The sequence below is a fragment of the Homo sapiens genome, chromosome 9 (genome assembly GCF_000001405.40).
Source record: "Homo sapiens chromosome 9, GRCh38.p14 Primary Assembly".
Classification (NCBI taxonomy): Eukaryota; Metazoa; Chordata; class Mammalia; order Primates; family Hominidae; genus Homo; species Homo sapiens.
In genome coordinates, this window is record NC_000009.12 from 61,443,131 (window position 1) to 61,465,155 (window position 22,025).

Genomic DNA, 22,025 nt, shown 5'->3' on the forward strand with positions numbered 1-22,025 from the left:
AACAGCTGCCCATGTAATATAGTAATTTAGTTTTATTTATTTATTTATTTTTAAGACAGAGTCTCCCTCTTGTCTCCCAGGTTGGAGTGCAGCGGCGCAATCTCAGCTCACTGCAGCTTACGCCTCACAGGTTCAAGCAATTCTCCTGCCTCAGCCTCCTGAGTAGCTGGGATTACAGGCGCCCGCCACCATGCCCAGCTAATTTTTGTACTTTTAGTAGAGACGGGGTTTCGCCATGTTGGCCAGGCTAGTCTCGAATTCCTGACCTCAGGTGATCTGCCTGCCTCGGCCTCCCAAAGTGCTGGGATTACAGGTGTGAGCCACTGGGCCTGGGCCAATTTTTTTTTTTTTTTTTTTGAGACGGAGTCTCACTCTGTCGCCCAGACTGGAGTGCAGTGAAGCTCTGCCTCCTGGGTTCACGCCATTCTCCCGCCTCAGCCTCCCGAGTACCTGGGACTACAGGTTCCCACCACCATGCCCGGCTAATTTTTTATATTTTTGGTAGAGACGGGGTTTCACCATGTTAGCCAGGATGGTCTCGATCTCCCAACCTCGTGATCTGCCCACCTCGGCCTCCCAAAGTGCTAGGACCACAGGCGCACTTTTTTTGTTTTTGTTTTTGTTTTTGTTTTGAGATGCAGTCTTGCTCTGTTGCCCAGGCTGGAGTGCAGCGGTACAGTCTTGGCTCACTGCAACCTCTGCCTCCTGGGTTCAAGCCATTCTCCTGCCTCAGCCTTCCGAGTAGCTGGGACTACAGGTGTGTGCCACCACACCCGGCTAATTTTTTTTAGTACAGACAGGGTTTTGCCACATTGGCCAGGCTGGTCTCAAACTCCTGACCTCAGACGATACACTTGCCTCGGCCTCCCAAAATGCTAGGATTACAGGCACGAGCCACCTTGACCCAGCCTAATATAGTAATTTTTATTATGCATAAAAAGTTATAAAGTAAATATGCCTCATGGGACATCGTTGTTTCATTTTTATATGAAATAAAATAACTTTCTATTTTTACATGGAAATCAGAATTCATATGTCTCACGTGTTTTTGGTGTTGTTATCCACAGGAGACCAATCATTTTGCAATGGCAATCCCTAATGATCTATTCCCTAATCAACTGGAAATACTTCCAAATCAGTTAATAAACTTCTTTCAATGTTTAAAGTTTGAAATATCCAAGTTTGGGTTAAAGGGAAAGCTCATGTTTAGTTGTCAGTGTATCTCAGCAGCACATCATGGGAATATTTATTTGTATTGTTGGGAACATGTTTTCTTTCCTGTTATGTGCTGGAGGAGTTGGCTCATGGGTTGCAGGACCAAAACCTGAAAATATCTCTGACTGTGTGTCACCAGACCACACAATGAATACATCACTTAGGTTAGCATGAGAAAAAGGGAAAAACAGCTGTGAAGCCCATGAACTTTCCAAGAAGGTAAAGGAGAAAAAAAAAAAAAAAAAAGATGGGTTTGAAGTCTAAGTTTTACTATGAACAGCACCCTGCTGAGATCATAAAAATGAAAAATACCATCAAGATACATGAAAAAGGAAACACCAAAGGGAAGAGTGATAACAAGGCTCCACAGAGTGCAGTTTCCTTTGACAAGATGAAAAAGAAATGAAAAGAGGAAGGAGATAAATGGAACAGCCCTCTACCTAAAGTTTCTGTCCATGGAGAAACTGACATTTAAGTGCTGCTCAACAGGAAAAAGAAAAAAGACCTGGTTATTGAAGTTGGCTTTGTTGGAGATGCGTTACTCAGATACAGATACAAAGATGGGTTTGGCCAATGGGCATCCGTGTCAAGAAGCCTGACCTAACACGTTCTGAATATTAAGCTACCTTTTATCTGCCAGTCCTTGGTGTTCAGAAGAATCCCTCCTCCTCACCCTAACTTCTATGGGGCTATTTACAAAGACACTGTCATTGAAGTGAGGAAGAGTGAGTTGGGCCTTATGACACAAAGAGACAAGACTATTTGAGGACAACAGACACAGGTTTTCATATACATTCCATGTTATTCTGAATTACTGATGGGTTCACTGATGGAATTATTGAGTATAGCCAATAAGGAGAACCACAATTAAGCTGGTATCTCTGGGTTCTGGATATCATCCTCAAGAAAACTATTTACTAATTACATTGAATGAGGTTATTAAAATGTGTAAGTTTCACACAAAAACAAAAAGACAATTCATTCCAAATTGTGCATATGGATATATAATGTTAATTATGGGAATTCCATTTTAAGAATTACTACAATTCTATGTGTTCTGTATAAAAACAGGAAAATAGTTGTTCCAATATATAAAAGGAAAACATTTAAAAATGTATTTTGTTGGGAAAATCAGTTGCCAGAATTCATTCAGTCAACTAACAAGCACTCCTCTGTGGCAAGAAGCCCTGCCTCTCTGTTGTAGCAGGCAGCTACCCACCTAAATGATGAGGTCAAGAAATATACAGCTGATAAAAAGATAAAAAATATGTAATAGTCCAGTGATTACATGTGTACTATGGATCAGTGCCAATTACTTGTAAGCTTTTGGTATTTAGTTTGTTACAGCAAATGTTTTCTTTTTTAAATTTTCTTCTGCAAATGTTTTCTTGTCATGAAAACTGTTTCCCATTTGGCAGAATTACAAAAATAGTCAAGAAGAAATGTTCTGATTGATGTATACAGTTAGAATGTGTATTAAAGATTATTATAAAATGATAACTGAATTATATCCATTTCTAAAGTATGTTGGGACAGAATTTTTTAAAAATGTGATTCTGTTTTGAAAATTGTTTTACCACTGGATCAGTGTGGTTCTTAAACTTGGCTTTATCTTGGAGTCACCAGAGGAGATTCAAAAGATACCATTACCTGGCTCTACCTCCAGAGATCGGGATTTTAATTGGTCTGTATCTGGATTTTAAGAGCCCTTCTGGTGATTCGACTGTTTAGCTAGGTTTGAGAGCCACTACCCTAGATTATCTGTCCTGCTCCAGTAACATTCTTTTTCTAAAATCATTTATAGTATATTAGAAATAAATCCATGGAAATTCCAAGTAAAATCAGAATTACTGGGGTTTTTCTCTGGAACTGAAATTCCTATGTGTGAATAATGCCCAAGAATTGCTTATTCCTTTCACCAGCCAAACAAAGCAAAACAAACAAACAAACAAAAACCATTTAAAAACCTAGTAAGATGTTGACTTACCAGATATTAAAGCATACTAAAAGCTTCTATACTAGAATCAGTATGGTAGTGGATAGGAACAGAGAAGTCAGTAGAACAGTCAAGATCTCAGAAAGATCCCAGTTTATGTGCAAAGTTGTTAGTAACAAGGAATGTGGCTCAATTCAGTGGAACAGGGATGAATTATTTCTGAAATTCTGCCGGAACAAACAAGTGTCCATAAGGCAGAAAATAAGCATGATCACTATCTTATACACACTAAGAATATGTAAATTAAAGAGGATGAGAAACAAACAACAATCTTAAAGAAAATCTATGAGATTGTATGTAGGACCTAGGGTAGTATGAAACTTTCTTAACAAAGATTGGAAACTCAGAAGCTGTAAAATACAATATAGACATAATTGACTATATAAAAACATCAATGTTTTCATGCTAAAAATACTATATGCAAACATTGCATATAACTATTAGATCTGAAAACCATTTGAAAGGCTGTCAAATATAACTTTCCAACAGCTAAAAATATGACCCATACAAATATCAAATAAGCATGTGTCAAAGATTTAGTCAATTCATTAATGAGGGAACCAGTAAAATAGTAAGCTGGTTCAAAAGAGATTTTGAGGATTGTGTAGAGAAGACCAAATGTTGCTCAGGAGAAAGACTGAGTATGAAAATGTCCTGTTATTTGCTGTATCCTCAGGGCTAGCACAGGGCCTGGAAAATAGCTGGCATAGATTAAACTCCTGTTGAACTAAAATTATATTGAGACTCCTTTACTAATGCTGAGAAGTAGAGAAGTGGAGAATTTCTCACACACACACAGAAAGCCACATGGATGTGTGCCCAATTATAATAATACTTATGTTGAAAGAGAAGATAAATGTTATAGATTTCAGCTTTAGCAGGCAGACTAATCCTGGATTGATAAAAAGCCTTGTACGTCTTCGTAAAATCTGGCTTTAATTAGATAGAAGCACCACCTGTAAGGCTGCTCAATGTGCTCTTTTGTTTTATTTATAGGGAAATGTGTCCTTCTCATGTCCACAGCCACAGACTGTCCCTGTGACTTTTCTGAGCTCCAGGAGTTATCTGGCTCTGCCAGGCAACTCTGGGGAGGACAAAGTGTCTGTCACTTTTCAATTTCGAACGTGGAACAGAGCAGGACATTTGCTTTTCGGCGAACTTCGACGTGGTTCAGGGAGTTTCGTCCTCTTTCTTAAGGATGGCAAGCTCAAACTGAGTCTCTTCCAGCCGGGACAGTCACCAAGGAATGTCACAGCAGGTAACAGTTGTATTCCCATAAACCTGACATATCCACACGGAAATCATTTGGTAATTAGTGAGTGAGTGAGGCAGTGAGATGCTCCATGCCCCCACTAGAGGAACAGATTGCTGTTTCCTTTTAGACTGTTCTGTGTGGTACACCCCGCTGCCACTAAAGTGTTCTTTTGACCAAAATGACTATGTATGAGAAATATGAAATGCATATTTCTGCAGACATACCTTCCCATATACAAGGAATATCCTTGAGCTCCATTTCCTGACAAACATATACCAGCCTCCATCCCAAAGAACTAGGGTCAGGACCTCATGGAACAGACAATACCTAGAGGCACATTCCTCTCCTGTCCTCCTCCTCCTTTCCCTTCTCCGCCCCGCCGCTCAGGGTCTGTGCACAAATATTCTATACACAGTAGGCAATTGATAACTATCACTTTACAGGGAAAGATGCCCGGCAAATACCAAGAGTTCTTATTCTTTCGTTGATGGCTGATTCGTTTTCTGGGATAGCTGGGCACCCTGGAAGAATCTCAGCTCCTCCACTTACTGCCCTTCTGAAATGTAAATCACGAAGCCTCCTAAGCCTCAGCTGTTTTCACTTGTGAAGTGGTAAACCTCAGATCTCCTTTGCAGGGAGAACAATAGGAAGTCTGATTTTATTAGCACAATGCCCACCCCACACACAGGCCCTCACATCCCCACTCCCCATCAGGGCCTGTTTTTGTTGGGCAAATGCTAGGTTAGGGGCTCAAATCCCATGAAGCCAGACTGAGTTACAATAGATGGGAACTAATCTCACATGCAGTCAGATGTGGGCAAGTTTGTTAACTACAGAGCTGCTGGATTTTGATGATTTTGGATTTGCAGATGGGAGGAGCACTGGGTCCTAAATTGACATTGTGCCTAAATTGGCATCGGAACTAAATGGGGGCTTTAAAAAAAAAAAAGCGTAATCTGAAAAAGAAAAAGGCACAGACGAAGAGGCTGACTTCTGCTTGAGACCAGGGGGTAATCATACTCAAAAAAAGATTCCTTTTGGCTGTAAGAGGCACACGTGACTATACTGCTATTAAATGTTGTGGTATAAAAGCACGATTTCAAGACCCGTGAAGAAATTCAGAGGGCGGGGCCTTATCTCAGTACTTCTGGAACAATCAGGCAAGTCCTGGGTGTTAGAATCTATGTCCACCTCACACAGGTGTTTCAGGGGAGATAAAACAGATATTCAGAGGGGACGTATATTTTTTATCTTTTAGAAATGCAAACCTAGTTTCCATTTCCTCACGAATAAGATTTTTTCCAAGAAAGGTTAAAATCGTGACCTACACACAGATACAGAATGAACACATGTCAGAGATTTTCTTTAACTCATTGATGAGAGAACCAGTGTTAGGGAAATAAGTAAAGATAAAATGGCCCACCAACATAGTGAATCAGTTTCACAAGGTAGAAATGAAATAATCTTATTATGGAATAAGTATTAAGCCAGACTGTGATGTACATTTCAGGCAATCGCTAATGTGATTGCAAAGATAAAGAAATTTCATCCATTTATATAGCCAGGCAGATACAACCCATTACATACATGTTCTAAAGATAAAGGACAGCTTGTCCTCAAGTAAGAGGACTTGACAGCGCCGTTTGCTACACAGCCCATCTTACATTCACCTGGTGATTGGGGAGGCACACTCCTTTATGCAAAGGAAAACTAAACTCCATGTCTCTTTGACAAGTGGGTAGTTGCAACTTGGAGCCAGGCACCTACGTTAAACTCCCACGGAGACAAGGAGATAGGAGCACTGCCTTTCTTGGTGTTTACATTTCAAAGAAATGTCTCCAAGGTCCTCAAGAAAAACACTCCTGGAAACAAGAAAGAGGCTAAATAAGATTTTGTTTTAAGATTTTAAAGATGTACAATTACAAGTTTTCTGAAAGAAATGCTCTAAGGAAAAAAAGTGAATGAAAGTGTGTATCCCTTTTAGCACTAAGAAAGCTTTTGTTTGTTTTGGTTTGTGTTTACCCTTACACCAGTAAGGCCTGTTTAAAGAAGTACCACACATTTATAGTCAGAAAAGAGATGCCGACTAGCTAAACTTGTCAATATCCAAAGGGAAAGGCAAATCCCTTCCCTGTACACACTTTGCATCTCTATGGACAAGCATTATTTGCATTATTATCAATGTTCTGCAAGTTAACTTCTGTCACTACACAGCTGTAAAGTAACCTAGTCCAAGATGATGGTTTACAATCCCGTAATATCAGCTAATCTTTCCATTGAAAAGATACCCAGTAATCTCCTTTGCCCATTGCAAAGACTGCCCTCAATTTTTTTCCTATAGTAGTTGGTTCAGTTTTACTGCTGATGAGTTGCATATATTCTGGATTCAATGAAGTGCTGAACAAGCACTTCATCCAGTTCTGGGTTGCACAATAACTAGAATTAAATATAATTAAAGTTCTTAAATCTCATCAGGATTTTGCTTTAGCTCATGGCTTTGTGAGTGTGATATTTTGCCTCTGCAGTTAAAATGTTGTAGTTGTTAACAAGAGATCATCTTCATATCAAATGTGTTTAAAATAACATCTATGTTGTGGGCAATTAATTTAGTAACTTCTCATTGAAATATTTATAGATTCTACTGTATCTGATTTTCTTGTGCATAAACTATGGCCAAAGGCCAAATACAACCTAATAGAAAACAAAAATAAAACAAATGTGGATGATAGACATGAAAACAGTTATACAAAGATCTGCTTTTATTTGTCAAAAGATATTCTTAAAGAGGGCACTTTTTGCAGTTATAAAAAGAACATGTCAAAGATTTTGTTTAACTCATTAGTTTATGAGAGAATCAGTAAGATGTTACTGCTGCAATGATTTTGTGTATAATGTAAAACTGGCTTATTCCATGGGATGGGGTAGAGGAACCAGGAAGAAGTTCAATTGTATTCCTGCCAGACAAAATTCATTTGCATGTCTATGGACAATAATCATTTGCCTGCTTTCAATTTTCTACAATTCACAGGGTGGTAAAAGAATTCAAAGAAGGGGCCAGGTGTGGTGGCACGCCTGTAATCCCAGCAGTTTGGGAGGCCAAGGCATGCAGATCACGAGGTCAGGAGATTGAGACCATCCTGGCTAACACGGTGAAACCCCATCTCTACTAAAAATACAAAAAAATTAGCCAGGCGTGGTGGCGGGTGCCTGTAGTCCTAGCTACTCAGGAGGCTGAGGCAGGAGAATGGCTTGAACCCGGAAGGCGGAGCTTGCAGTGAACCGAGATGGCACCACTGCACTCCAGCCTGGGTGACAGAGCGAGACTCCATCTCAAAAAACAAAAACAAAAACAAAAAAAAACTCAAGGTAAAAGGCACAGAAACCTGCAGAATCATATAATCCTCCAGATTGTGTTTAGACAATGCCTAGTTTTACATTGAAGACATCCAGAATCTTGGTTGATTTTAAAGAATAATTTATTTCCTTACACTTTATTACTACTTCTGTTTCTGTTTCATACATCACTGAAGGTTAAAAGGGAAAGCTAAAATATTAATGTTAATGTTTAATTTTTAAGAAGTACTACATTTGAAATGGTAATAATATACTAACTTCACATAAATGCATGTTAGGAAGAAAAATAAATGAAGCATAGAGTCATTTTAATAATTTACAGGTTTCCCAGGACTATCAAGTAAAATGTTAACTTTATAGGAAAATTTCTATTAGTCTAAAGTTTATTATGATATATGTAACTTCTGAAATAGTTTCAATCTTGGCCTAATTTTAAACTTCAGTGCAAAGTTAATTTAATAGGCCTCATGAAGCTAATCTTATTTTTAGCCCATTTATTGGCATGTATCTTTGACATATTATCAGGTAAAAGAAAGCACAGAATACCTCTAGTGATTTTAAATACCTTAACATTTAACTTTACCATCAAAGACAATTCATTTTGTTACCAAATTATTTGACAGGATTAATTTCATAATTACTACTAAGAATCATAAAATAATGTGGATGTGAGTGTAAATATATAAAAATATTGCACATATATAAAGTACAACTCCAGTTCTTTCCTAAGCATTTTTTATCAAATATTAAATAATAGCTTTATTTTATTTTATTTTATCTTTTTGAGACAGTGTCTCACTCTGTCACCCACACTGGAGTACAGTGGTGTGATCTCAGCACACTGCAACCTCCACCTCCCAGGTTCAAGTGATTCTTGTGCCTCAGCCTCCGAAGTGACTGGGACTATAGGCTAGTGCCACCATGCCCAGCTAATTTTTTGTTTTTTAGTAGAAATGTGGTTTCACCATGTTAGCCAGGCTGGTCTTGAACTCCCGACCTCAGGTGATCTGCCCGCCTCAGCATCCCAAACTGCTGGGATTACAGGCATGAGCCACCATGCCCAGCGAATAATAACTTTTAAAAGACAGTATAATTATATCTATAATCATAATTTGTTAATTCAGAAACACACGAATATATGTTAAAGATTTTAACTAATCTATGAAGAAACCAGTAAGATGTTACAATCAGTTCGGAGGATAATTCAAAGTACTACACATACAGGCAGATAAGAAATGCCAAAATGAATTACAGACAGATATGAAATGGTTCAGTAAGCAACTGCACCTCGCCAGGCACTAGTCATTTGTATTTCTATGGGTACAAGTCATTTTGCATTACTATCAGTTTTCTACAATTTACAGGGCTGTAAAATAGCTCAGACAGTGAAAGCAGGGTTTACCTTAATTAATAGGTGCAGTAAGCCAGACATCCAGTGATCGTCCATTTCAAATCCTGTCACACCCCATAAGTATGTGCAATTATGTGTCAACTTTTTCTAAAAAAAACTTTTCACAATCATTCTTGACGTATTTTTTATCAACTCACTTTCTTGATTCTTGTAAAATGTTTTTGTTAGATTCAGTAAAGCAAGTAAGTTTTGCATTTGAAGATTAAACCAAACTGTGTTGTTTTTATCCCATTGTAAAGGCTCCTACTGTATATATTTGATAATTAAATTCTAGTTACTTTAAGCAAATTACCAGAATTTGTTACAGTGATTCTTCAGAAAGAGTAATATTTTTATTCATGTGTTATTTTCGTAATAAATGAAATTTTTAAATTAAAGATAGGTGGTTAATTTTTTTTTCAGTGATACATGAACATGTAAATACCACTCTTCTCTGACTTATTCAGTGATCTGAATCAAATTGTTTTCAAGTGTTTACAGAGCTCATAATTTAGAGTTGTCTCTGACTGATTGTATTTCCTCCAGGTGCTGGATTAAACGATGGGCAGTGGCACTCTGTGTCCTTCTCTGCCAAGTGGAGCCATATGAATGTGGTGGTGGACGATGACACAGCTGTTCAGCCCCTGGTGGCTGTGCTCATTGATTCAGGTGACACCTATTATTTTGGAGGTAAGAGAAGGCAACTGAATGACACTGGCAGTGGAACCACTTTTTATCTTTATTGCTTTGCATTTTGAGTCTCTAGTCAAATTTAAACCAAGTTGATACTAAGAAATAATTTATCTCTAGCCATGAAATTAATACCTTTTGAGTTTATAAAAAACATGAAACATTTAATCAGTTTTTCTTCCCAATACAAAAATAAGTATCTGCAGAAAGTTTACTTGCTGTTTAAATAACTTCATATTTTCATTTAACATTAAAAGAAAAATATATTTGAGCTACATGTAGTAAATAAGTGGAAACTTTCAAACAATATCATAGTCATATCTCTACAACAAATAAATCCATTTATACTTCTAACAGTTAGCTCATAAAAACAAAACAAATCGTACTGTCTGAAGTCATTGGCTTACATAAAATATTACTTATATATTTAAGTCTACATCTAAATCTATACTATTGAATCATTATTAGTACACAGCTCAGTTTATAGATAGATGGATAAATATTTTTTACATGGAGAAGGCGTAATAGGAAATATACTGATTATGAAGTACTTTCAAAACATTGACAATGTAAACAAATATTAATTAATAGGAGACAAACATATTAAATGAATCCAGTATAATTGGTGTTACACTGGTGCAAAGTATTGAATGTTTGCTTCCCCACCCCAGATTCATATGTTGAAATCCTGACCCCAAAGTCATGGTGTCAGGAGGCTTTGGAGGGTAATTAAGTCAGGAGGGTGGAGCCCTAATGAATGGAATTAGTGCCCTTATAAAAGAGGCCCAAGAGAACTCCCTTGCCTTTCCTGCCATGTGAAGTTATAAGGCGAACACTGTGGTCTGTGAAGCAGACACTGCATCTGCTTTGCCTCAAACTCAGACTTAGACTTTCCAGCATCCAGACTGAGAGAAATAACTGTTTGTTGTGTAAGCCACTCTGTTCATGGGATTCTGTTAATAGCAGCCCAAACTGACTATGAGAACTCATACAGCTAAAGAAATGGGAACAAGTGGATCTTTTGATTATAAAGGAAGTTTGGATTTTTTTAAATTAAAAGAACCACTAGGAATAACAGCAAAACCCTGCTATGTATTCTAGAATGCTCCTGTGAATCCAAAGATTAAGCTTTTATATCTGGAAACCACAGTTAAGAGAAACAATCATGTGAGAAAACTTATCACTTGGGGGCATGGATGCCTGTACATTACAACATTCTGTTATCATCCCATATCACCACATATATGATAAGAAAACTCACTCTCGAGTAAGAAAGTTTTCAACTAGGTATGAAATTCCATGCTGGACACAGATACAGAGAGCCACTTGCACTGTACCTAAACACTGAAGTGTTACTGAGGTAACTTAATTACTTGTAATTCTTACTGGAAAGGTAAATATATTCAGCCTTTCTTAGTAATAAAAATTGTATGTAAACAGAAGTATAGATCTAGTAATAGAGACTTGTTATATACATGCAGTCCTGTACATTGCATTTTACCTCATCAGTATTTGTGGTATTTCGCAAAGAATATATACTTTTCCAAATATACAGCCACAGACATTCAAAGACTTCACTGAGCTGTCCTCTGGCACACAGGTGTATTTAAATTGTTAAAGAAAATTAAAATGGCCTGAGGTATCTCTGACCAGACAAAGCCTTTTAAGTGGCGTTAACTTTGCTTGATTTACCAATATAAGCAAAACTTGAGCTATTTCTTGTAAATGTCTTTAAAAATAAAAAAAGTCAAACTTAAGGCTAACCAATCAGAAGCCAATTAACTTATATAACTAGAGACTTTCCAGCAGGATCAACCAAATAAGGCAATTGTATAAGTACAACCAGTGAAAAATTTGCTACTATATTTACCTTACAGAAGCTGTCCCTTTTTGTTCCCTTGAAAGGGTCCCTGAACCAGTTCCCATTTGAAGCTGCTTCAACAGTGATTCATGAATCACTGTTAGCTCAAATAAACTTTTGTGCCTCCATTTACCTTTTATTAATGGATACATTTATATCTGTAGTTGGATGCTTTTTTCCTCTAAGCAGACACAAAGTAAAACTGAAGAGCTTAAGATTTTTATTTATTTATTTATTTTTATTTTTTGAGGCGGAGTCTCGCTGTGTCCCCCAGCCTGGAGTGCAGTGGCGCGATCTCGGCTCACTGCAAGCTCTGCCCCCCCGGTTCACGCCATTCTCCTGCCTCAGCCTCCTGAGTAGCTGGGACTACAGGCACCCACCATCACATCTAGCTAATTTTTTGTATTTTTAGTAGAGACGGGGTTTTCACCATGTTTGCCAGGATGGTCTCGATCTCCTGACCTTGTGATTTGACTGCCTCGGCCTCCCAAAGTTCTGGGATTACAGACATGAGCCACTGTGCCAGGCCAAGATTTTTAAAATTAGTTAATGCCTTCGTGTATCTTGAGTGGATGATAACATAGGAGTCCTCAGAAAAATGCAGACATGCCCGCCAACCTTTTCAGAAGAGCGAAGTTGGCTTAAGGAATCATCATCGGTCCAAGATTGTTAGTGATCTGAGAAATTTCATGTGCTGAGGATGATGCCAAATTAAGGGTTTCCAAGTATGAGTACCAGGATACCTCCTATACCTGCTGTCAGCCATATGTGGTATCGACAATTGCCTCTAACAAAATTTTTCCAAACCAAGTAGAAAAAAACAGTAAACAGAACAGAGATTTTTTTTTTATTAGGATGGGACTGAAATCTGTCCCTCCTTCAGGATGAGGGCTGTAATCTGTGTGACAGAAACAGATGACAGAGTTTGATCCACACTACTTTGTTTTCAGAGCTGCTAGCCCAGATGGAATAGGTCCAGAAAGAAACTAATGAAATAAGCAATAGAAAATCTCAAACATTATAGTCTTTGACAATGTATATTCATATATAATTCCCATTTCCTTCAGAAAATACGTGTTGCTTCTCTTTTTTTTTTAAACTTATTTTAGGTTCAGAGGTATACATGTGCAGGTTTGTTATATAGGTAAATTGCATGTAATGGGGGCTTGGGGTACAGATTATTCCATCACCCAGGTAATGAGCATAGTACCTAGTAGGTAGTTTTTCGATCTTCACCCTCCTCCTACCCTCCATCCTCAAGTAGGCTGTGGTGTCTATTGTTCCCTTCTTTGTGTCCATGGGTACTCAATACTAAGCTCCCACTCCTAAGTCAGAATACATGGTATTTGGTTTTCTGTTCCTGTGTTAGTTCACTTTGGATAATGGCCTCCAGCTCCATCCATGTTGCTAGAAATGACATTATCTCATCTTTTTTTATGACTACATAGTATTCCATGGTATATATGTACATTTTCTTTACGCTACTGTTGATGGGTATTTAGGTTGATTCTATGTCATTGCTATTGTGAATGAACATGCACGTCTGTGTGTCTTTATGGTAGAAGGATTATTATTCCTTTGGGTGTGTACTCAATGGGGTTGCTGGGTTGAGTGGCAGCTCTGCTTTAAGTTCTTTGAGAAATCACGAAACTGCTTGCTGCAATGGCTGAACTAATGTATAATTCCCCCAGCAGTGTATAAGCACTCCCTTTTCTCCACAGCTTTACCAGCACCTGTTATTTTTCGCCTTTTAAATAATAGCAATTCTGACTGGCGTGAGATGGTATCTCATTGTGGTTTCGATTTGCATTTATCTCATGACTAGTGATGCCGAGGAGTTTTTCATATGCTTGTTGGCCACATGTATGTCTTCTTTTGAAAAGTGTCTGTTCATGTCCTTTGCCCGTTTTTTAATGGGGTACGTTTTTTTTCTTTCTTGTTAAGTTCCTTATAGATTCCAGACATTAGACCTTTGTCAGATGCATAATTTGTGAATATTTTCTTCCAGTAGGTTGTCTGTTTACTCTGTGGATAGTTTCTTTTGCTGTGCAGAAACCCTTTAGTTTAATTAGGTCCCATTTGTCAACTTTTGTTTTTGTTGCAATGTTTTCGGTGTCGTTGTCATGAAATTTTTGCCATGTCCTGTGTCCAAAATGGCATTTCCTATATTTCCTAGGTTATCTTCCAGGATTTTTGTAGTTATAGGCTTTACTTTTTTTTTTTTTTTTGAGACTTTAGAGTCAGTCTCACCTGTTGCCCAGGCTGGAGTGCAATGACACGATACAGCCTCAACCTCCCAGGCTTTAAGAGGTTCCCCCACCTCAGCCTCCTGATTAGCCTGGACTACAGGCACGTGCCACCACATCCAGCTAATTTATTATTATTATTATTATTATTATTGTTTGTAGAGACGAGGTCTCGCTATGTTGCCCAGGCTTGTCTCAAACTCCAAGGCTCAAGCTATCCTCCCACCTCACCCTCCCAAAGTGTTGGGATTATAGGCGTGAGCCACTGCACCTGACACGTTTTACATTTTATTCTTTAATCCATCTTGAGTTGATTTTTGTATATGGTGTAAGGAAGGGGTCTAGGAACTGCTTATGGTTAGCCAGTTATCCCAGCACCATTTATTGAATAGGGAGTCCTTTCCCTACTGCATGTTTTTGTCGACTTTGTTGAAGATCAAATGGTTTTAAGTGTGTGACATTATTTCTGGGCGCTCTATTCTGTTCCATTGGTCTGTGTGTCTGTTTTTGTACCAGTACTATGCTATTTTGGTTACTATAGCCTTGTAGTAGAGGTTGAAGTTGGCTAACGAAATGCCTCCAGATTTGTTCTTTTTGCCTTGGATTCCCTTGGCTATTCAGGCTCTTTTTTGGTTCTATATTAATTTTAAAATAGTTTTTACTGGTTCTTTGAAGAATGCCATTGGTGATTTGATAGGAATAGCATTGAATCTATAAATTGCTTTGGGCAGTATGGTCCAATATGGTTAAAAACCATATTTATTATTCCTATCCGTGATTATGGAATGTTTTTCCATTTGTATGTCATCTATGATTTCTTTGAGCAGTGTTTTGTAATTCTTCTTGTAGAGATCATTCACCTCCCTGGTTAGCTGTATTCCTAGGTAGTTTATTCTTTTTGTGGTCATTGCGAATAGGATTGCATTCTTGATTTGGCTCTCAGCCTGCATGTTGTTGGTATATAGGAATGCTACTAATTTTTGTACATTAATTTTGTATCCTGAAACTTTGCTGAGATTATCAGATCGAGAAGCTTTTGGGCAGAGACGATGGGGTTTTGTAGGTACAGAATCATATCATCTGCAAACAGAGACAGTTTGACCTCTTTTTCTCCTATTTAGATGCCTTTTATTTCTCTCTCTTGCCTGATTGCTCGGGCGAGGACATCCAGTACTATGTTGGGTAGGAATAATGAGAGAGGGTATCCCTGTCTTGTCCCAGTTTTCAAGGGGAATGCTTCACATCTTTTGCCCATTCAGTATGATGCTGGCTGTGGGTTTGTCATAGGTGGCTCTTACTATGTTGAAGTATGTCCTCCAATGCCTCATTTGTTGAGGGTTTTTAACATGAAGGGATGTTGAGAAAATACCTGATGCTTCTCTAGAGACAAATATATGAAAGCAAACAACATTTCATGAAGGAATGAGGAATATTTTGTGGCAGCAAGAATGAGAATGACTCTCCAAGATGCCCTGGAAACTGAATATGTTACATCACATAAGGGATTTTGCAGATGTAATTAAGGTTGCAGACCTTAGGAGACGATCGTGATTCATGCAGTGGGCTCCATGTAATCACATGAGCACTTAAGAGATTTAACTCTGGTTGGAGGCAGAAGAGACACAGAAGAGAGGTGTGGGTGAGGGGAAGCCAGAGAAACTAGAAGCAGGAGAATGTCTCTCTGCACCATTGCTGGTTTAGAAAATGAACTGGGCACTATGAAGAGCAATGCAGGCAGCCTGACATTGCTGAGAGGCCCCAACTACCAGCCAGTGATGAATTGGGACCTCACTCCTACAACTACAAGAAGTTGAATTCTGCTCTAACCTGTATGTGCTTGGACACACATTCTGCCCTAGGGCCTTCATAAGGAGCCCAAGAGCACCTTGATTTTGTCCTTGTAAGACTATAAGCAGAGTCATCAGTCCAGCCCTCCCACACTTCTAAAGTGAGAGATAATAAAGAGAATATTTTAGTGATTTGTTACAGTGATGATTAAAAGCTGATACACATTCCAACCTCCATCAGATCCATTTACAGACATTCCCATTCAGTTCTAAACCCTTGGACAATGGCCAAAAAAAAAAAAAGCTTTCCTCAAACACACCCTGAGAATATACTGAAAAAGATTACATATATATATATATATATATATATATATATATATATATATATATATATATATATATCTATCTATCTATCTATCTCCAGGCGTGGTGGCCCACGCCTGTAATCCCAGCACTCTGGGAGGCTGAGGCCGGCGGATCACCTGAGATCAGGAGTTGAAGACGAGCCTGGCTAACATGGTGAAACCCTGTATCTACAAAAATACACACACAAAAAAAATTTAGCCGGGCATGATGGCAGGTGCCTGTAATCCCAGCTACTTGGGAGGCTGAGGCAGGATAATCACTGGAAAAAAAAATATATATATATATAAAATGTTTTTTAAAAATATATATATATATAATATTTTTAAAATATATATATATGACCAAAGAGAATAGTTTCAACAGAAAGTCAAAATAGCCAACACAGTTTCTGTGTTTTATTTTGTTTGGATTGTGTATGGCCTTCGAGTGAAGTAACATACATGATAATGAACCATATAGGGACACAGTGACAGAAATGGGAAGGCTGATCCATGATCATATATGCATACATAGGTACACTATGGATTCCAAAGTCCCCTTTGACCTGAAAGTGTGAGAAGAGCCCATAACCCATTTGAAACAGATATGCAGCAACCACAACCCAAATTGTATATGCATAAGTAAAGTTGTCCTTATTTCAGAGATGATATTATGGATTGAATTGTTTTCCCTCAAATTCATATGAACTCCAGAATGTGACCTTGTTTGGAGATAAGATCTTTGCAGAGGTAATCAAGTTAAAATGAGGTCATTAAGGTGAGCTCCAATCCAATATGACCAGTGTCCTTATGAAAAATGGAAATGGAGGTGCAGAGACACACAGAGAGGGAAGACGCTGGGACAACATGCAGGAACAACGCCTCAGGAAGACAGAGGCCTAAAGTGTTACACCTGCAAGGCCAGAGCTGTTTACTGGGTTCCTCCCTGACGCCACCTCCCACCTGGGGCTGAACCTGACCCAGACCTTACCACCCACTGCTGCTACACTGCCATAAATCCCTTTTTTAAAAAAATTAAAATATTTATTTGACAAATAAAAATTCTGTATATTTAAGGTATACTATGTGACGATTTGATATAGGTATTCACTGCGTTCTGATTACCACAGTCAAGTTGATTAACACATCCATCACATCACACATAGTTACCATGTTGATGGCAGAGGGGAGTGAAGTCATTACAAATCTGCTCTCTTACCAAATTCCAGGTAAATAACACAGTATCATTATGTATCACCATGCTGGATCATCATGCTGGATCCCTTTTGTTTCATGGGGTTGTATCACCATGAAACAGTATCACCATGCTGGATCCCTTTTGTTTCATGGGGTTGTTGAAAAAAGACTACAAATTAAGGACTGAAATGCATGTCTTCCAGATAGGCCTAAATAAAAGATCACACTCAGGAACCGATTTTAAATAGACCACCCTTTATGGAGCTTCCCTTCATCATTCTGCCCAACGGAATTGTAACAGTGCGAAATGAGTGCCGTTACCTTTTCCACTGCTTTATGTGCTGGTTTTATTGCACCATACAGGTATCCCCAGAGACTCGGCTCCTCTGGAGCATCTTATTGATTTCCCACTGCGGCATGAAGAAAGGCCATGCTTTGCCCAAAGTGCCTAATAGTTTTACTCAGTCGGTTATTTCAACTTATTTTTATTGCCCAGTAATGATGCAGTGAAACATTTTACCAAGTCAGGGAGCGCATCAGCCTTTCCTAGACAATAATAAACAGAATATTTGCCAGCTCAGTCAATGATTGAGTACAGCCAAGAGACACTGCAGCCTAAGAGAGGGCAGTCAGAGTGGGGAGGTCACAGAAGGGTGCAATAAATCTTCTCCCCAGGGATGTTTACTCAGAAAGTCCTTGGTCATTAGAAATGTCATTTAACTCTGTAAATAATAAGATACATTTGCTAATCAATGCTTGAGGTGCTTCTTGAGAGTATTAGTATAGTTTTGCATTTTACTATTTTTTTTTCCAGAATCCTTTTAAAATTATGTTGGAGACAGCACAATATGAAAGTAAAATTCGGCCAGGCACAGTGGCTCACGCCTGTAATCCCAGCACTTTGGGAGGCCTAGGCGGGTGGATCACAAGGTCAAGAGATTGAGACCATCGTGGCTAACATGGTGAAACCCCGTCTCTACTAAAAATACAAAAAAAAAAAATTAGCTGGGCATGGTGGTGGGCGCCTGTAGTCCCAGCTTCTCAGGAGGCTGAGGCAAGAGAATGGCATGAACCTGGGAGGCAGAGCTTATACAGTGAGCTGAGACTGCGCCACTGCACTCCAGCCTGGGTGACAAAGTGAGACTCCGTCTCAAAAAAAAAAGTAAAATTCATCCCTAAAATTGGCTGTCAGCATGGAAATTATAAAACTCATTTTCTAAACTCTAACAGTCCTTCAGAGCAAACTTTCCACAGAGCAACTGTGAAAACAGACAATGTCAATCTGCAAAGTTTCTGATTGTTTTCTTTCCTCATATTCCGAGGTGTGCATATGTGCCTCAAATTGTATTAAAACATTTGCTATAGATGACAGATTTTATAACAAAAAACAAGCCAATATATCCAAGACCTATCATTTCAAAAGTAAAATATTTAGGAAGCACTAAAAGGGATAAGAATGAAAGTACTATTCATTTTTTTAAGTGATACTAAATAAAGTTGATTACAGAAAATGATTTGTCAAAGTATAAATATAGTATCACCTTTAGGGTTTAAATTCTACAGGTGAGATTTTATAACGTCCTGTTATTCAAGAGCCCATTTCCATAAATATATACATGCTAATGTGAGAAATGTTTTTGTGTTATTTTTATGCATATCATAATTTTATTCATTTTTACTGTGAAATAGATCATATATGTACAGTTAAAAATATTGCTAATTTTTCAAAAGAATGTATATATTGTTACATGAATATACCACATTTTATCAGTTCTACTGTCCCATTTTGCTATTGTTAGGCAATTTTCATTTTTGCTTTTAGATTTGCTTTATAAAATTTAGGGGGGTGGTGTTTCGTTGTTTTGCTTTTTTTTAGACAGGGAGTCACTCTGTTGCCCAGGCTGGAGTGCAATGAAGCAATCACAGCTCACTGCAGCTTCTGCCTCTCCAAGCTCAAGCACTTCTTCCACCTCAGCCTCTGGAGTAGCTGGGACTGCAGGCCTGCACCACCACACCCAGCTAATTTTTGTTGTTGTTGTTTTTCTTCGTATTTTGTAGAGACAGAGTTTTGCCATGTTGTTCAGGTTGGTCTGAGGTGATCCACCCACCTCAGCCTCCCAAAGTGCCAGGATTACAGGCATGAGCCACCATGCCCAGCCTAAAATTTAGTTTTTAAAATATTCTTAACATACCTAGTTTTTCCAGTGAATTTTGCATTCCTTGTGTGTGTTTTTGTAACTTTATTTACCCATCTGTATAGTAAACTTCGGGAAACACCAGCTCTAACCACCATGTTTAACAGCATAAGCTGGTTGTTAAATTTTACTGATGTATGTAAACCCAAAATAGATCATTTCTTCACATAGAAACAGCCTTTGGTTCCGCTAGTATTCATTACTCGTTTTAGTAATTTAAAGACCACATGACCCAAATTCTTCTTGAATGCTGTGCAGTGCACTGAAAGAGACTAATAAGCCCTTTTCTGTTTTCTAAGCAAATTTACTTCTTGGGATATTTCTGTTCATATGGTTTCCTATGACACATAGCATCACTAAGAGTCAAATAAGTGAAACTGAAAACATTAAAATTAATCCTGTAATCCAGTTTTAATAATGAGTTTGTTTCATTATGTTTCTTTTTCCTTTCCATTTGTTTTATACTGGCCTGAAGAAAACAGGCTTGATGGATAAAATCCACAGTATTTTCTTCCTAACTAGCTTATATATTTAGAATGGCCTGAATATGTACAGCTGCAGACACTAACTTCATTCCTACAGTATAATATCTACCAATGATTGAAACTAGTCAGCTGCACATTTTATTTATTTATTAAAAAGGATTTGGATTTTTATACAATATTTAAAAACCACAAAATGAAAAGGGATCAATCAACGTATACCTTGGAGGTCCTTCCAAGAGTCTCAGTATCTAACAGCCATGGAGGCTGTGAGCTTTTTCCTTCTTTTCTCAGCCTGCTGGTCATTTAAGGGTCACCAGAGATGACTCATGCTCTAGTTCTTAAAATCAAACTTGTTCCACCAAATCCAAGATGCTGAATTTGTACAAATGTAAAAACATCCTCTTGCCACCTGTCCACCAAAATACCTTCTATTCAAGTGAACAACAGCTTTAATTGCTGACTCAACTCTCAAATTCTAAAAAGGTCTGTACTGCTTCATCATCAGGGACACCAAGAATTTCACATATCACACGTTTTCCAACTTTGCCATATTTTTCATGGCAAAATTGGGAAATACCATGGACTTTATCCATCAAGCCTGTTTTCTCTGAGCCAATATAAATTGACAATGGAAAAGAAAAAGAAACATAATAGAATGAACTCATTATGAAAACTAGATTAACTATACTCTTTTCAGTTTCACTTATTTTATCCTTAATGATGCTATGTCTCATAGGAAACCATATCAACTGAAAAATATGTCATCACACATTCTTCTCTGGTTTCAACTTCCAAGTCTTCTTCCACCTCCCCTTCGCCAACCATGTTCCTTAGTAGGACCACCTTAGTAGGACTCAAGTATTTCAGTCAGTGGATTTGTACCTGATCCTTCAATGCATCTTTCTCTGCGGTGTCGCCCACGATGATCTTGCCGCCTGATCTGCTAGTCTTCCCCACCGGAAAGGCATCTCGCGGCCCCTGCAGGTGCTCCCCGAGGCCCCGGCCTTCCCGGAAGCCGCGCTTCTGCATGATGTTGTGCGCCACCGTTCCCACCACGTTAGCGAGGAAGGAGCTGCTAGGCCGGTTTGGAGATCTCAGTCTGTCCTGTTCCTCCTTCACTGGGGGAGGAATGGCTGCTTTGGAAGACCATGACTGAGGTCTTGAATCCTCTTCATAAGGAAAATCTCGGGGTGACTCTTGGTCTTTCTCTACCAGAGAAGTGGGAAGGGCAATGGCAGCTCCACCCTACTACTTTTCCTCCTCTCTCCCTCCTAATCTTCCCCTTCATCAGAATCTGGATTTGGTCGCCTTGATCAGAACTCCCCTAACTTCTTGCCTGTCTTCAGGCCTCTTTTCCCTTTCTTCTATTTCCTTTCATATTTCTAGCTCCTGCTGTGTCTGTCGTTCCTCTCTCTGGCACTTCACTACTTTCTCATAATCATAAGGGAACATAGGATCATATTCGTCAGCTAAGGGAATCAGAATGTCCCCTGCAAAAATCCACTGGGAGCAGGATCCTTCAGCCCAGCTGCTGCATGCCGTGGTGTGTCCCCAATTTGCAGGTCATCTGAGGAGCCGCCTGGCCTTAGGTCAATGACTGGCAAGAGCTGCACTGTTTCTAACTTTGGCTCTTTCCCTGAGTGAGAGCTGCCTTCCTCACCTGAAGCTGAGACTGCAGAAGTTTGATGTTTTGGAACCAGCCTTCTGCTTTTGAGTCACTGGTCTCCACTCTCAGGCCATCGTATGGGGGCATCTTTTTTTTTTTTCTATTTAATGTTGCCCTGCTGACTCTACCCATGGGTAGCCAGGTTAATATGAAGAAATGAAGAAGAAGAAAAACCCACCAATTTCCTGATGCCAGATAAATGGAAAATGTTATTTGCACCAAAGAAACCTTGAGAGACTTGGAACAATCACTGGTGGTTGTGGATTTCTGGATCTCCTAGATTTATTTTAATAGAAAGTTTAGGCCAGACGCGGTGGCTCTCACCTGTAATCCCAGCACTTTGA

The 22,025-nt window shown here is 38.7% G+C and overlaps 1 protein-coding gene and 1 pseudogene across 5 annotated transcripts in view; one reads left to right on the plus strand and one right to left on the minus strand.

The window, feature by feature from the left end:
• CNTNAP3C (contactin associated protein family member 3C) overlaps positions 1–18,336 on the plus strand; it is a 131,026-nt gene extending 112,690 nt beyond the window's left edge. Inside the window, exons 8-10 of one of the 5 annotated variants that reach the window (XM_011545672.4) lie at positions 4,208–4,469; positions 9,757–9,900; positions 18,150–18,336. In XM_011545672.4, the coding sequence (XP_011543974.1) occupies positions 4,208–4,469; positions 9,757–9,900; positions 18,150–18,160 (417 nt within the window). In that variant the 3' untranslated portion in view covers positions 18,161–18,336. The other 4 variants (XM_017015380.2, XM_011545674.3, XM_011545673.3 and 1 more) reach the window with 4 other exon arrangements.
• A 2,023-nt stretch (positions 18,337–20,359) lies between these two features.
• On the minus strand, positions 20,360–21,768 carry LOC101929878 (splicing factor 45-like; annotated as a pseudogene).
• Positions 21,769–22,025: the final 257 nt, after the last annotated feature.